Genomic DNA, 14134 nt, shown 5'->3' with positions numbered 1-14134 from the left:
CTAGGAAGTTGGGAGGGAGGTAGCAACACATGGGGATGAAGCAATACTTTTGCAGACTGCACTGGGCCTGTAGCCCTGGAATGTAGCTCTGGGAGTGCTTTGCAGGCAGGAGAGGCTGACGGGGTGCCCTGACCAGAGTAATTACACTTCTAGCTGCTCTATATATTAGGATTCTGCATAAGATTCCTTTGGTAGAAGAGCTTTCAATAATTGCTTATCGTATCTGGTTTTGATCATAGGTAGATGAAGCTACAGCAGGAGATGGATGCGGGAAGGCAAGGACAGGCCTGATAGGGAAAGGCCTTGAATGCCAGGCCATACATGGAGTTTTGGCTTTATCCAACACAGATTGAGGACCAGGAGTACCTTTCACAGAGTAGTGTACCAGGAACCTCACTCTGGAGCAGAGTGGAGGCTGAGCCAGGGGTGCCCAGCTGCAGATAGGGAGCCCCACTGGGAGGCACTGTCTTGATGCAGGCCATGGGGTCATTCAACCACAAAAGCAATAGCTAACATGTATATAACGTGAATATGACATGCTTATTTTCTGCCTGGCACTGTCAATCTTCACAACCATGTGGAGTGGGCACTATCATTATCCCCATTTTAGACATGAGAAGCATTGAGGCAAAGCAGGTTAAGTGATTTGCCCAAGGTCACCCAGATAATAAGTGGCCAGGCTGTGAATCCTGTGCTCGAGGCTGAGATAGTAACCACTAAGGTATAATGCTTCTCAGGATAAACAGAGATGGAGAAATGGGGACCAGGGTGGGAGCCACAGTAGAATGGAGGTAAAATTGGCAGGGCTTGACTCTTGAGCAGGGGCCTGGGAGAGAGAAGGTGGAGTGAGAGCCAGCTCAGTGGTCATAGACAGTGGAGGGGACCCAGGGGAAGGAGCAGTCTGGAGAACTGGAAAATGGAGGGGAGTAGAATGTGCCCCAGGGTGACGTGCACTGCATGCATGCTTTCGGTCTAGACATTTCTTTGGTTCTATGGCATTTCCACTTGTTTCATTTGTTCTCTCATTAATCCCATCCCGGGAAACATGCAATTGTGCAGGGGCAGCAGCATGGGGGTGTGGGATCCCAAAACTGCAGCTTTCTAGCTCTTGGGCAAGAGGGTTTAACCTCTCTGTGCCTGAATTAAAGAGTTGATGTATCCGTTGGTTTCCTGACAGCAGGCTCACAGGTTTAGTGGAAGGGAGCTGGCATGAGCTGCTGCTGTGGAGAAAAGCAGCCTCTGCCCAAACACTTCCCAGCAGAGAGGGAGCACGGGGTTGGGGGATAAACATCGCAGTCTCTCTCTAGCCCACCCTCATGGCACACAGCTGAGGCCTGGGTGATGTCATTCCTAGAGGTCAGCTTTTGAGGGGCAGAGCAGAGAAGGGTGGAGAAGACCCAAAAAAGCAAAGGGAGAAAACCCAGCACCACCTACCTCATAGGTGTGAGGGTTGTAGGAGTATTAGCCTTAAAGCCCTTAGAACAGTGTCTGGTACATGCTGCAGCTGCTGTTATTGTTTTTTGTTTGTTTGTTTATTTTTTTATTTTTATTTTTTTTGAGACAGAGCCTCACTCTATTGCCCAGGCTGGAGTGCAGTGGCATGATCTCAGCTCACTGCAAGCTCCGCCTCCCGGGGTCAAGCCATTCTCCTGCCTCAGCCTCCCGAATAACTGGGACTACAGGCGCCTGCCACCGTGTCCAGCTAATTTTTTTGTATTTTTTTTTTTTTTTTTTTTAGCAGAGACAGAGTTTCACTATATTAGTCAGGATGGTCTCGATCTCCTGACATCATGATCTGCCCGCCTCGGCCTCCCAAAGTGCTGGGATTACAGGCATGAGCCACCGTGCCTGGCCTGTTAATTGTTATTGTGACTACTATTAATTTAGTTTCATGGAAAATTCTGTGCCCAGGAAACTTCTTGCTTTCTAGTACAGATCACCTCTCAGGAATGGATTCATGGATTCCAGACAAGCCTGGGCAACACAGGATTCATGGATTGGGATTCATGGATTCTGAGGAACCTGTGAATACTTGAAATTGCAGCTACAATATTGAATGTGCATTTTTCTTAGGTGCATAGCTTTCATCAAATTCTCAAAGAAATCCAAATCTCAGCAAAGTGTGAGAACTGAGTCCGGTTTCCCCAGCTCCTCCAGGCCTCTGACTCTCCGCCCCCTCCCCACTGACCCCTGCCCACAGCCTCTGCTGAGAACTTCCAGGGCTGTGGGAAACACACCATGGCTGACCAAGAATTCTCACCCTGCCTCTTGTCCTCAGCACATGGGATCAGCATGCTCCGGGGAACTGGGCCTTCAAGGACCAGGTGGCTGCTCTGTCCTGGGTCCAGAAGAACATCGAGTTCTTCGGTGGGGACCCCAGCTCTGTGACCATCTTTGGCGAGTCCGCGGGAGCCATAAGTGTTTCTAGTCTTGTGAGTTCTCTGCTTTGTGGTTTGAATGAATCTCAGTGCCGGAGGTTCCAAAAATGATGATGAGTCACTAACATTTGATTGTTGCCTTCATGTTGAACAAACCCTTTAATACACATTGTCTTTTTCAAGCCTCACAACACATTATGAGTTAGGGGCTCAGTCTCATTTCACATACAGGACAGCTGTCACTGGGAAAGTTTAAATAAATCACCTAAGGTCACATAGTGAGTAATAATTTGAGGAAAAATCCCTTATATTTGTAGAGGAGAAACCCTAGTATTCAATTGCCAGAATGGTAATCACTTGTTTAATAGGAAACTCAGCTAAGACATGAAATGCCAAAAGATACATGTAAATATTTTATTTTAATTTAAACCATAAAATGTATATTCCCTCACCAACAGTTTGATACAGGGCCTTATGTTTGCAGAGTTGGTCTGCTGACTCGATTTCCAACATGGATTGTCTTGCATAAACCACCTGCAAAATTCACTGTCCTCAAATTGCAGTTTCAGTTTCTTTACAGTGGGCGCAAACTTAAAGATGCCTGCAAAGCAGTCTGACTTTAGCGCATTTGGGATTTGTATACTTTTCCTGCAAATATTTTACTCCTTTCTTGTCCACACACAATTTGACAGCAATATAAATAGAGAGATGTTTATCTATATATCTATATCTATATCTATATATTTGTATAGTGTATTTTATATATATACATACACACACATATATGGTTTTTTTGTTTTGTTTTGTTTTGAGATGGAGTTTCGCTTTTGTTGCCCAGGCTGGAGTGCAATGGTGCAATCTAGGCTCACCAGAACCTCCGCCTCCTGGGTTCAACCAATTCTCTTGCCTCAGCCTCCTGAGTAGCTGGGATTACAGGCATGTGCCACCATGCCCAGCTAATTTTGTATTTTTAGTAGAGATGGGGTTTCTCCATGTTGGTCAGGCTGGTCTCAAACTCCCGACTTCAGGTGATCCGCCCACCTTGGGTTCCCAAAGTGCTGGGATTACAGGCGTGAGCCACCGTGTCCGGTGACAGCAATATTTTTTTTGAGACAAGTTCTCACTCTGTTGCCCAGGCTGGCAAGCAGTGGGGCGATCATAGTTCATTGCAGCCCAAACTCCTGGTCATAGGCAATCATCCTGCCTTAGCCTCCCAAGGAGCTAGGACTACAGGCATGCGCCACCATGCCCAGCTAATTCTTTTTTTTTATTTTTTAAAATTTTTTTAGAGATGGGGTCTAGCTATATTGCCCAGGATGGTCTTGAACTTCTGGGCTCAAGTGATCCTCTTGCTTTGGCTTCCCAAAGTGCTGGGATTACAGGCGTGAGCCACTATGCCTGGCCTGACAGCAATATTTTTTTAGCCATCCTTTATCAAGAATTTTTTTTCCAGACATAATTTGATTTTCTTTGTACACATACAGTTCATTTGTTCTCATGATATTTCATTGATTGTGTAATTACAATAACAAGTGAAATTGACAAAACAGGTTTGGAAGCAAACACACCTGATTCTTGGCAAGAAACTGGTGAGAAGAGAAATGTACAGAGGTGTTAGAAAATGGTCCACTGGCTCAGAATGGTCAGCATTTCCTTGGCATCAGTTGGCAGGTTAATTGCAGAAATCAGTAACATGGTGGTGAGTTAAGAGAGCTTCTGCTGAATAGCACTTGACAATATATGTGGTCTTTTTACATCTTCAAAATTACCTTCTAAGGTGGATTATATTAACCTAACTTTTCATATATTATAACAACCATTATTTCATGAGCAAAATTTGACCAGAACCTCTGTGAAGAGTTCTATGTTTATTACCTCCCCTGCTCCTCACAACAGTTTTGTGATACGGGCTAAATTTTTACTCCAGTTTTACAGGGGAGTGAACCGATACTTAGAAATATTAAGCAACTTGGCTGGGTGCGGTGGCTCACGCCTGTCATCCCAGCACTTTGGGAGGCTGAGGTGAGTGGTCAGGAGATTGAGACTATCCTGGCCAACATGGTGAAATCCCGTCTCTGCTAAAAATACAAAAATTAGCTGGGCGTGGTGGTGCGCACCTGTAATCTCAGCTACTCTGGAGGCTGAGGCAGGAGAATCACTTGAACCTGGGAGTCGGAGGTTGCAGTGAGGTGAGATCACGCCAGTGCACTCCAGCCTGGCCACAGAGCGAGACTCCATCTCAAAAAAAAAAAAAAGAAATAAAAAGAAATAAAAAAATATTAAGCAACTTGTCCGAGGTTACCTAGGTAGAAAGTGAAGGAGCTAGAAATCACATGCCTGAACATTTGACATCAAAGTCCATGAAGAACCAGGGGCTCAGAGAGGTTGAGTAACTTGCCCAAACCTTCACAGCTAGTCCTTTAACCCCTAAACCAGGGCTTTTTTCCCCTCTAAGCTTAGAGCTTTTAAGGAGGCTTCCTGGGAAGGTTTCTTTGAAGAGGGATGAATGGTATGTGTGTTGGTGGGGAGTAACCTTTCCTGGGTCTTCTGTGTTCTCTCTCCAGATACTGTCTCCCATGGCCAAAGGCTTATTCCACAAAGCCATCATGGAGAGTGGGGTGGCCATCATCCCTTACCTGGAGGCCCATGATTATGAGAAGAGTGAGGACGTACGTATACTGTTAACACCTTGCCACCTTCCTCTCCTCAGTTAGCAGAGAATGTGGTCAGGCACCTTCTCACCATGTGTTTGGCTTTCCTTAGTGACCATGCCCAAGGCACCTCATGCTGGCCCAAGGTGAACCTTGTTCCTCCGTGAAAGGTCTGGTTCAACAGGAAATGGGTCTAGCTACACAATGCCACACCACTGGTGTGCACAAGTGTGTGTGTATGTGCGTTATGGTTCTTATGTCTTACCCGTTATTCTTTGCTTGTGATAGATAAGTCAGTCCCCTGTATTCTATACAGTTCTTCTGTGCCTACGCTACTCTACTGGGAATGAATACCCAGGGCATTATGTTAAGAAAGATTCAGAGGCTGTTTCCAGCTCAGTGGGAAATAATGCTGTGACTGATTCACGTTGTCTGGCATGGGATTATAAGGGGCATCTATCCCACGATATTTGTCATCTGTCTCTTGTCTTAATTATCTACTAGATAGTGATGCCCTAGAGACCAGGATCTCTCTGTCCTTCAGGCCCCCAGCATAATACCTGGTATATATCAGGCAGCCATAAGTGTTCCGGATGAATGAGTTAATGAATGAGCTGTTTCATTCAATGCATATTAATTAAGCACTGGGCTGTGCAGCCATCTCTTGAGTATAAATCATTTTTGTGGTAAATTTTCTTAAACATCTTACAGAAAATAACAGTATATACCAAGAGCAGAAACATAGAGTTATGCAATTTAAAAAAATTCCCTCAATACACAGAAATATTGATTTTGGTAACATTCTCCATAAAGCTATTTTCAGTTTGGGCATATATTTATTCATTTGACACACATCACTGAGTGCCCACTATTTTCCCTGCTCTGTTAGAACTTTGGGATTTATCAGTGGAGAAAGCACATCCTAAATTTGAGGGCAATATAATCTTTTTATCACCTATCCATGGATAGGATTAAATCCTGCAATCCATGGATAGGTTTGGGAAGCGGTTCCACAACTGTACCAGACTCCACATGCTTGCACGTTTTCCCAGGGAGAGGGTCTGTAACTTTGACTGGATTCTCAGAGTATCCATGACTCCCAGAAGATTAAGAACCACCACTTTCAGGGAGTGAGTTCTACAAATATGGAGGTTCAGTGACAAGGAAAGCAGATGTTCAGCAATGGGCCAGGCATGGAAGGTGGGGAACATCGAGCTTATAGGAGATTGGATGAGGAAGGGGTTTCTGGGGGCTGCAATGCCCTGAAAGGACATCGTGGAGGGAAGGAGTTGGGCCTTAAAGAATGAAAAGGATTGGTATAGAGGCAGGGAAAAAGACAGGTAGGACATTCCAGGCTGTGAGTGGGCCTGGGGCTTGGGCAGGGCTGACAAGCTGAGAATCTGATCTGGAGTCCTGCCTGTACTGACAATGAAGGAGCTTCCAAAGCTGCTCCTCACTCTTGGTGTTTGTCTTCATTCAGCACCTCAAGGTTGGGCTTCTAGACTCCAGAGGGGCAAAATACCAATGCAGCCAAGCTCACAGGACTGATCTCTTTGTGACCAGGAATCTTGATTCCATTCCACAGCCACAGACTGACAAACTCCCATCTCCAGCTGTGGTGTTTACTAAAGATGACAAGGAGAGCCAGGCAAGAGACTGAGGGTGATGCAGTGGGAAACTGTCCACCATGTGCACCTTCAATTATAGGGGTGTGGGTCTAGGCAGTGTTAGCAGGATGGACTCATATATGGAGGGCCAGCCTGTGGCTGATTGGAGGGCATTTTCAAGCTTTCATTTTCCTAGATGCTTTCAATATCATGCTCTAACCCGGTCCTTCTCTACAAAATAGCTGCAGGTGGTTGCACATTTCTGTGGTAACAATGCGTCAGACTCTGAGGCCCTGCTGAGGTGCCTGAGGACAAAACCCTCCAAGGAGCTGCTGACCCTCAGCCAGGTGAGGACAGAGGGGGCAGTTTTGGGGGCAGGCTTGCCCTTCGAACGGAGAGATGAACAAATCCTACCCCTCTGTTATTTATTTGAATTTGGAACATAGAAAAGAGGAGGATTGAGGTACTTGGTAACAGCTGTAAAAAAATAAGTAGGGATATAGAACCCTTGTAGGTAATTTAAGAAAATTGTTGGGGCAGGGGTTCAACTTAGCCTGGAGAAGATTCAGCAAAGTACAAGGCTTGTCTCTAAGTCCCTGAAAGCATCTCACTGGAGAGAAGGACCACACTTGTTATGCATGCTTCCAGAAGCTGAAGTCAAAATCAGGAGCTGGAAGTTCTATTAGGAAGTCATTTTAGTTTTGTGTAACTGAAAACCTTCCAAGACCTCAGTTGTCTGGAAAAGGACTGGGCTCCTTTAGAAGGTAGTGAGATGCCCACCTCTCCAGGTATTCAAGCAAAATCTAGCTGACTGCTGACAAACTTTCAATCAGTGACAGTTAATTGGACCGGGTGATCTTTTATGTCCCTTCCAATCTTGAGAGCCTTTGATGACAGTCTTTGAATGGACAAGATCATTATCTTTCAGATTTCAATATTTGCTAGTTATGTGGTGTGTACTGAATGTCCACTCTGAGCCATGCTAGACTCAGTGAAATGGATAATAAGTCCTGGACCTGATGTGTCGAACTCTTCCATGTGCTCCTTTCTACCCAAATCTCAAAACAGAAACCTAAAGAAACCATGACTAGGGCTGAGTGTTGCTTTCTGAGACCCAAAAAATATCCAGGCATGTCCAAGGCACTGTGTCTCAGGGAGACACCTACAGTCTCCTACAACCCCTACAGTCCTGACCACTTCATCTACCACCATTTTTCCCTTTGCATTTGGCCAGTGGTTCTCAAACTTAAACATGCATCAGGATCACCTGGAGGACCAGCTACAAGAAGGTTCCTGGGCTATACACCCCAACCCCAGAGTTTCTTATTGAGGAGCCTGAAGTGGGCCTGGAATGTGCATTTATAACAAGTTCCCAGATGATGCTGATGCTGCTGGTCTAGGAACCACACTTTGAGAATCTCTGGGCTAGGCTATATTAGTCTCTTCTCATGCTGCTAATAAAGACATACCTGAGACTGGGTAATTTATAAAGGAAAGAGGTTTAATAAACTCACAGTTCCACATGGCTGGGGAGGTCTCACAATCATGGTAGAGGGTGAAGGAAGAGCAAAGGCACATCTTACATGGTGGTGGGCAAAAAAAAAGCTTGTTCAGGGGAGCTCCCCTTTATAAAACCATCAGATCTCATGAGATTTATTCACTATCATGCAAATAGCATGGGAAAGACCTGCCCCCATGATTCAATTACCTCTCACCAGGTCCCTGCCACAACATGTGGGAATTATGGGAGCTATAATTTGAGATTTGGGTGGGGACACAGCCAAACCATATAACAGGCCACTGTTTTTCTTGGTAGATATTATTATTATTCCCATTTAGCAGATGAGAAAATAAGGCACAGACAAGTTTAGCCCCCTCACCCAAGTACATGGCAGAGCTTCCAGGGACTGATATATTGAGCTGGGCCCATAGTGTTTGTTTTTACTTTTTAAGTGCATTTAAGCCAGTGCTAGACTGGGTTGGCTTTTCTTGGCCAGGATTTGGGACAGCAGATTTTGTGAACAGAAATAGCTGATGATAGCTGATGATTTTTTTTTCTTCCTTATTACAGAAAACAAAGTCTTTCACTCGAGTGGTTGATGGTGCTTTCTTTCCTAATGAGCCTCTAGATCTATTGTCTCAGAAAGCATTTAAAGCAATTCCTTCCATCATCGGAGTCAATAACCACGAGTGTGGCTTCCTGCTGCCTATGGTAAGAATTCTGGCTGTCCATACTGCCACTCCCTCAAACCGTGATGCAGCTTTGGCTTCAACAGCTGGGCATTTCCACAGAAGACATCAGGTATTGTAAGTGCTGGAGCCCACCAGCCAAGCACACAGTGATCACCTTTACTCTCTCTGAAAGAGGGCAAGTGAGGACCGGGACAGTCACAGCAAGTGTCTGCCTTGCTTCTCATGTAATGAGGTTTAGGGCGGAAGAAACAACTGTATAAAAAGGAAAGAGGGGATCGGTCCATTTGGTCTTTGTTCAAACAGTATTATAAATGATTGTTTCCAAAAAATGCAGTTACCACTTCAGAGCTGACATTCAGATAGGTTTGAAAAACTTCAGTCCTTCAAATTTTTCACATCCAGCCTTGGTTCTGGCATTTTGACATCCCTGAATGCTAAGGTTGCATAAGCTGCAAAATTGTTAAATCATTTTATTTTTTCAACAAGTATGTACTGAGCATTTATTAGAGGCTTACAAAAACTGAGCATATGAGCTTTCTGGGAGCTTACACTCTGGTGGGGAGAGACAGATAAGACACGAGATTGAGAAGATGATTTCAGAGAGTGATAGATATATGAAGGACACAAGTGAGGAGAGAAGGTATCTTTAGGGAGGATAACAGGTGGTCAGGAAACGCTCTTCTAGGGAGTGATTGTTGAGCTGAGGCCCAGGTGCTGGGAAAGACCCATGATTTTTTGATTCCGTGGCATAGGAAGACTCTCTTCATTGGAAATAAACTTTTCATCTGTCCTCAGAGGAGTGGAGACTTCAAATTCCTAATACTGTTGAAGCTCATTTATATAGATTGGCCTCCTTATTTTAAGCTGGAGGAAATAGGGTTAAGAAATAAAGAGGTTTGTCAAATTACAAAGCTAGTTGTTGGCTGTCTAGAACCAGTCTCAAGTTCATTGAGTTGTGAAAGCATGTTCTGCCATTATTAATTTGACCTCCAGGGCAATGTTTTGAAGTGGGACTAGGGATTTTTGTCCTCATGTTGCAGACGAGGCCACTGAATCGCAGTTCATGGCTTAAGTAAGGCCTTTCAGTGATTTCTGGGTGTGTGTTAGAAAGAAGAAGGCAGGTGCTAGTGATGACAATCACCACTGTAACTACTGTAACCAGTTCCCCAGTGCCTTCCAGTGCCAAGCACAGGCTGTCCAAGCAACAACTTGAAAACAGGCATGATTTTCCCTATTTTAAAGAAACTGAGGCTCAGAGCAGCTAAAGTGGCTTTCTAACATCTCCTGGCTAGTAAGGAGACAGGGGTGTATAATTTTTATGCATTTAGGCTCTGCCTTTTTAATTTAATTTAATCTAATTTAATTTTTGAGTCAGAGTCTCTCTCTGTTGCTGAGGCTGGAGTGCAGTGGTGGATCTTGGCTCACTGCAACCTCCACCTCCTGGGTCCAAGTGATTCTCCTGGCTCAGCCTATCGAGTAGCTGGGATTACAGGCACCCACCACCATGCCCAGCTAATTTTTTTTTGTATTTTTAGTGGAGACAGTGTTTCACCATGTTGGCCAGGCTGGTTTCCAACTCCTGACCTCAAGTGATCCACCTGCTTTGGCCTCCCAAAGTGCTGGAATTACAGGCATGGGCTGGTACCCAGCCTAGGCTCTCCCTTTAAATATCGAGTTCTCTGTTTACCTGCTGTGTGATATTAGGGGAGTTGCCCACCCTCTCTGAGCTTCCATTCCTTCATCTGTGAAATAGGGCTAATCTTAGCACCTGCCTCACAGGTATACATCAAAAAGCCTGGCATATAGTCAGTGCTCAGTAAATGCTAGATATTGGAGTTATTCAAGTGACAGAATTTGCAGAGTTCAAAAGCCTGTGTGGGTGCTGAAATTCCATGTGAATTTGCAGTTAAACCCCTTGCTAGCTGTTAGAGGCCACAGGAAATCCCCAAGAAACAAATCCCAGCTCCTTAATGTACAGATAAGGTTTTTAGTAGTTAAAATATGCTTGTGGATAATTTAAATGACTCTGAGGATTCCCTGAGATTCCAGGAGGCAGGTACTGCCCTAGTATTCATTTAGGTATCAGCCCTAGTGAATCATTACCCCAAGATTTTCAGCAGAAAACATACCAAGAAAATTCATTTGTCAAGTGGATAGCGTTTCTGCTGCCTCACATTTTAAAGCGGTAATTTTGCCAGAAAGTGGTAATTTAACAAATAATCACAGGAAGCACTTACTACATACCAAGTACCATTGTAAGAGCTTTACAAATATCAACTCGCTCAGTTCTCATCACCACCCTCGCGGGAGGTACTTGTTGCAAACTCCATCTTACAGATGAGGAGCCTGAGGCAGGAAGAGTTGAGTCCCTTGCCAAGTTCTCAGCTGTTGAGGGCAGCTCAGGGAGCCTGTGTTTTCAGCCACTGCCTGACCTCCCACTGTGGCTTCTCTTCTTTGTGGCCCCACCCACAAAGGTCTTTAGAAGGAGAACAACAAACACCAGTTTGGAAATTTTCTGGCTTCTCTTTGAACTTGGTGTCAAAGCCAAGTTGGGGCCTCTCAGGCAGTCAGTGCTGCCATAATAAAATACCATAGACTGGGAGGCTTACACCACAGACATTCATGTTCTCACAGTTCTAGGGACTGGAAGTCCGAGGTCAAGGTGCTGATACCGCTTTGTGTGTGTAAACTTTCTTTTCTCATAAGGACATCAGCCAGATTGGATTAGGACCCACTCTAACAGCCACATTTTAATGTAATCACCCCTCTAAAAGTACTAACTCCAAATAGTCACATTCTGAATTGCAGGGGGTTAAGGCTTCAACGTGTAAATTTTGAGGGGGCCACAATTAAGCCCATAATGGGAGCCTTCCCACAAGGTGGCCACTTGGGCCCCACAAGGCTGCAGGTGGAATGACAAGGAACAGCTGCCTTTTATCAAAAGTGAGAAGAAATTAACTATCTGACAAGCACACTGAGGCCACTTCCACATGTGGCTGCTTGGGCTTGAGGGCTCCTTATCCAACTTCCCCTGTGAAAGTCAGCTGCCCAGGCCCTTGGGGAGATGGGTTTACCTTCTCATGACCAGATGGCTTACAGAGGGCACGCTTCTCTCCACAGAAGGAGGCTCCTGAGATCCTCAGTGGCTCCAACAAGTCCCTTGCCCTCCATCTGATACAAAACATCCTGGTGAGTAGCTTGGGAGGCTGCAGTACTCCAGAGACACATGCACTTAACAGATAGCCCTAGGTCACACTCAGCAGGAGAAGCCAAGGGCACAGACACTCCTCACTCACTCAGTCATTCAATAGACCTTTACTAAGCATAGGTGTATTAGTCCACTCTTGCACTGCTATTAAGAAATACCTGAGACTGGGTAATTTATAAAGAAAAGGGGCTTAATTGGCTCATGATGCTGCAGGCTGTACAGGAAGCTTGATGCTGGCATCTGCTCAGCTTCTCGGGAGGCCTCAGGAAACTTACAATCATGGTGGAAGGTGCAGGGGAAGAAGTCATGTCTTACATGGCCAGAGCAGGAGGAAGAGAGAGAGGGAGGAGGTGCCACACACTTTTAAACAACCAAATCTCATGAGAACTCTATCATGAGAACAGCACCAAAGGGGTGGTGCTAACCATTCATGAGAAACTGCCCCTACGATCCAATCACCTCCCATCAGGCCCCACCTCCAACATTAGAGATTACAATTCAACATGAGATTTGGTGGGGGACACAGGTCGAAACTATATCAATAGTCCCACAAACCCAATCCACAATCCCCGACCTGGAAGAGCTCCAAAAACCCAGAGGCTTTTTGTAACCCACCCAGCAGCCGAACCAGACCTTGACTGATTTGTGGCTATCAGTCATTTTTGTTCCCACACATTTATTCATTTTATTTATCCCACTATTCAGATGTTTCTCTGTGGATGCATTAATGTGGGTGTTGGGGTGTTTCCCCCACCCTGAGCCTGTGTCATAACACGCAGCATAGGTGCTGCATTATCTACCTACAGTCTGAAAAGCTCTGAATGCTGAAACACACATGGGACTGGGGATCTGTATTCACTACACACCAGCCAGGCATCAGGCCAGGTTCTGCAAGACCAGTCATTTACTCGTTCATTCACTCATTTATTGTTCCATCACTAATTCATTCATTCACTGCACAAACTTAGCAGTATCTGATCTTACTCTAGACACTAGGATATAGAGATGGATTGTTTTCCTTCCTTTCTTTTCTCCTTTTTCCATCTTCCTCTTTTTCCATAAACGTTTATTCAGTATGGACTCAGTGCCGATGTTCATTTTGTTCACTTGTCCATGGAACACATGTGTAGTGAGAGTCCACATGCCCCTGCACTTCCCTGGGCACTGGGGTGCAATGTGGGGTGGACAGAGATGACAAGACACTTCAATACAGTACACAGGAAGCACAGGGATGTCCAAGGCTCTGTGGTGCCCACAGGAGGGGACAGGCAGCTCTCTTGGGGAGAAGGATTTGGAGGATTAATGGAGCTTGTCTGGTGATGGAAGGGGTGGGTGGAGAAACTGGGAAGAACCAAGAGGACCAACTGGGAGCAGAGGGGTGTGAAGAGATCAGCTGAGGGTTGGCTGCAGCAGGAGAGAATGCTTTCAGCTGTTGTAAGCTATGTAATGAACATAGACTTCATCCTAAAGACTGAGAACAGAAGGAAGAAGGACATTTGATTTCTATTTTAGAAAAAGCCCTCTGAAACTGGGCATGGTGGCTCACATCTGCAGTTCCAGCACTTTGGGAGGCCAAGGCAGGAGGATTGCTTGAGCCCAGAAGTTCAAGAAAAGCCTGGGCAACACAGGGAGACCTTGTCTCTACAAAAAATAAAAAAATTAGCCAGGCCTGGTGGTGTGCATTTGTGGTGCCAGCTACTTGGGAGGCCAAGCAGGAGGATTGTTGAGCCTGGGAATTTGAAGCTGCAGGATCTCGCCACTGTACTCTAGCCTGGGCAACAGAGCGAGAGACTCTGTCTCAAAAAAAAAAAAAGAAAAAAAAAAAAGAAACACTACAGGCAGATATCCCTCAGGCCCCCTTGGTGGAGGGATGTTTGACGAGTTGCAGCTGTCTGATGATGAATTGGGACTAAGGTTTGAGAGATATTGATGATATAAGTTATACAGTGGAATTCTCAGGTGGATTGGAGATGGCCTCATGGAGAAGATGCTCATTGATCTAAGCCATAGGTGAGGGGAACAACTGAGCAGAAGGACATTTCAAGTAGAGTGGGAAGTAGGCTGTGCGGGAAAGTGCAAGAGGAATGGAAGGGCATG

The 14134-nt window shown here is 45.3% G+C and overlaps 1 protein-coding gene across 3 annotated transcripts in view; it reads left to right on the top strand.

Annotated features, from left to right (window-relative positions):
* The window catches only part of CES5A (carboxylesterase 5A), a 109878-nt gene that overhangs the window by 87637 nt on the left and 8107 nt on the right, over positions 1-14134 (top strand). For all 3 annotated transcript variants that reach the window (NM_001190158.1, NM_145024.3, NM_001143685.2), the window contains 5 exons: positions 2279-2432; positions 4943-5047; positions 6879-6983; positions 8708-8848; positions 11950-12018. In NM_001190158.1, coding sequence (NP_001177087.1) covers positions 2279-2432; positions 4943-5047; positions 6879-6983; positions 8708-8848; positions 11950-12018 — 574 coding nt within the window. The remainder of the gene's footprint in view (positions 1-2278; positions 2433-4942; positions 5048-6878; positions 6984-8707; positions 8849-11949; positions 12019-14134) is intronic.

The sequence above is a fragment of the Homo sapiens genome, chromosome 16 (genome assembly GCF_000001405.40).
Source record: "Homo sapiens chromosome 16, GRCh38.p14 Primary Assembly".
In the NCBI taxonomy this organism is placed as follows: Eukaryota; Metazoa; Chordata; class Mammalia; order Primates; family Hominidae; genus Homo; species Homo sapiens.
The sequence above is the reverse complement of the archived record's forward strand: the minus strand, read 5'-3'. Positions and strand labels throughout refer to the sequence as shown.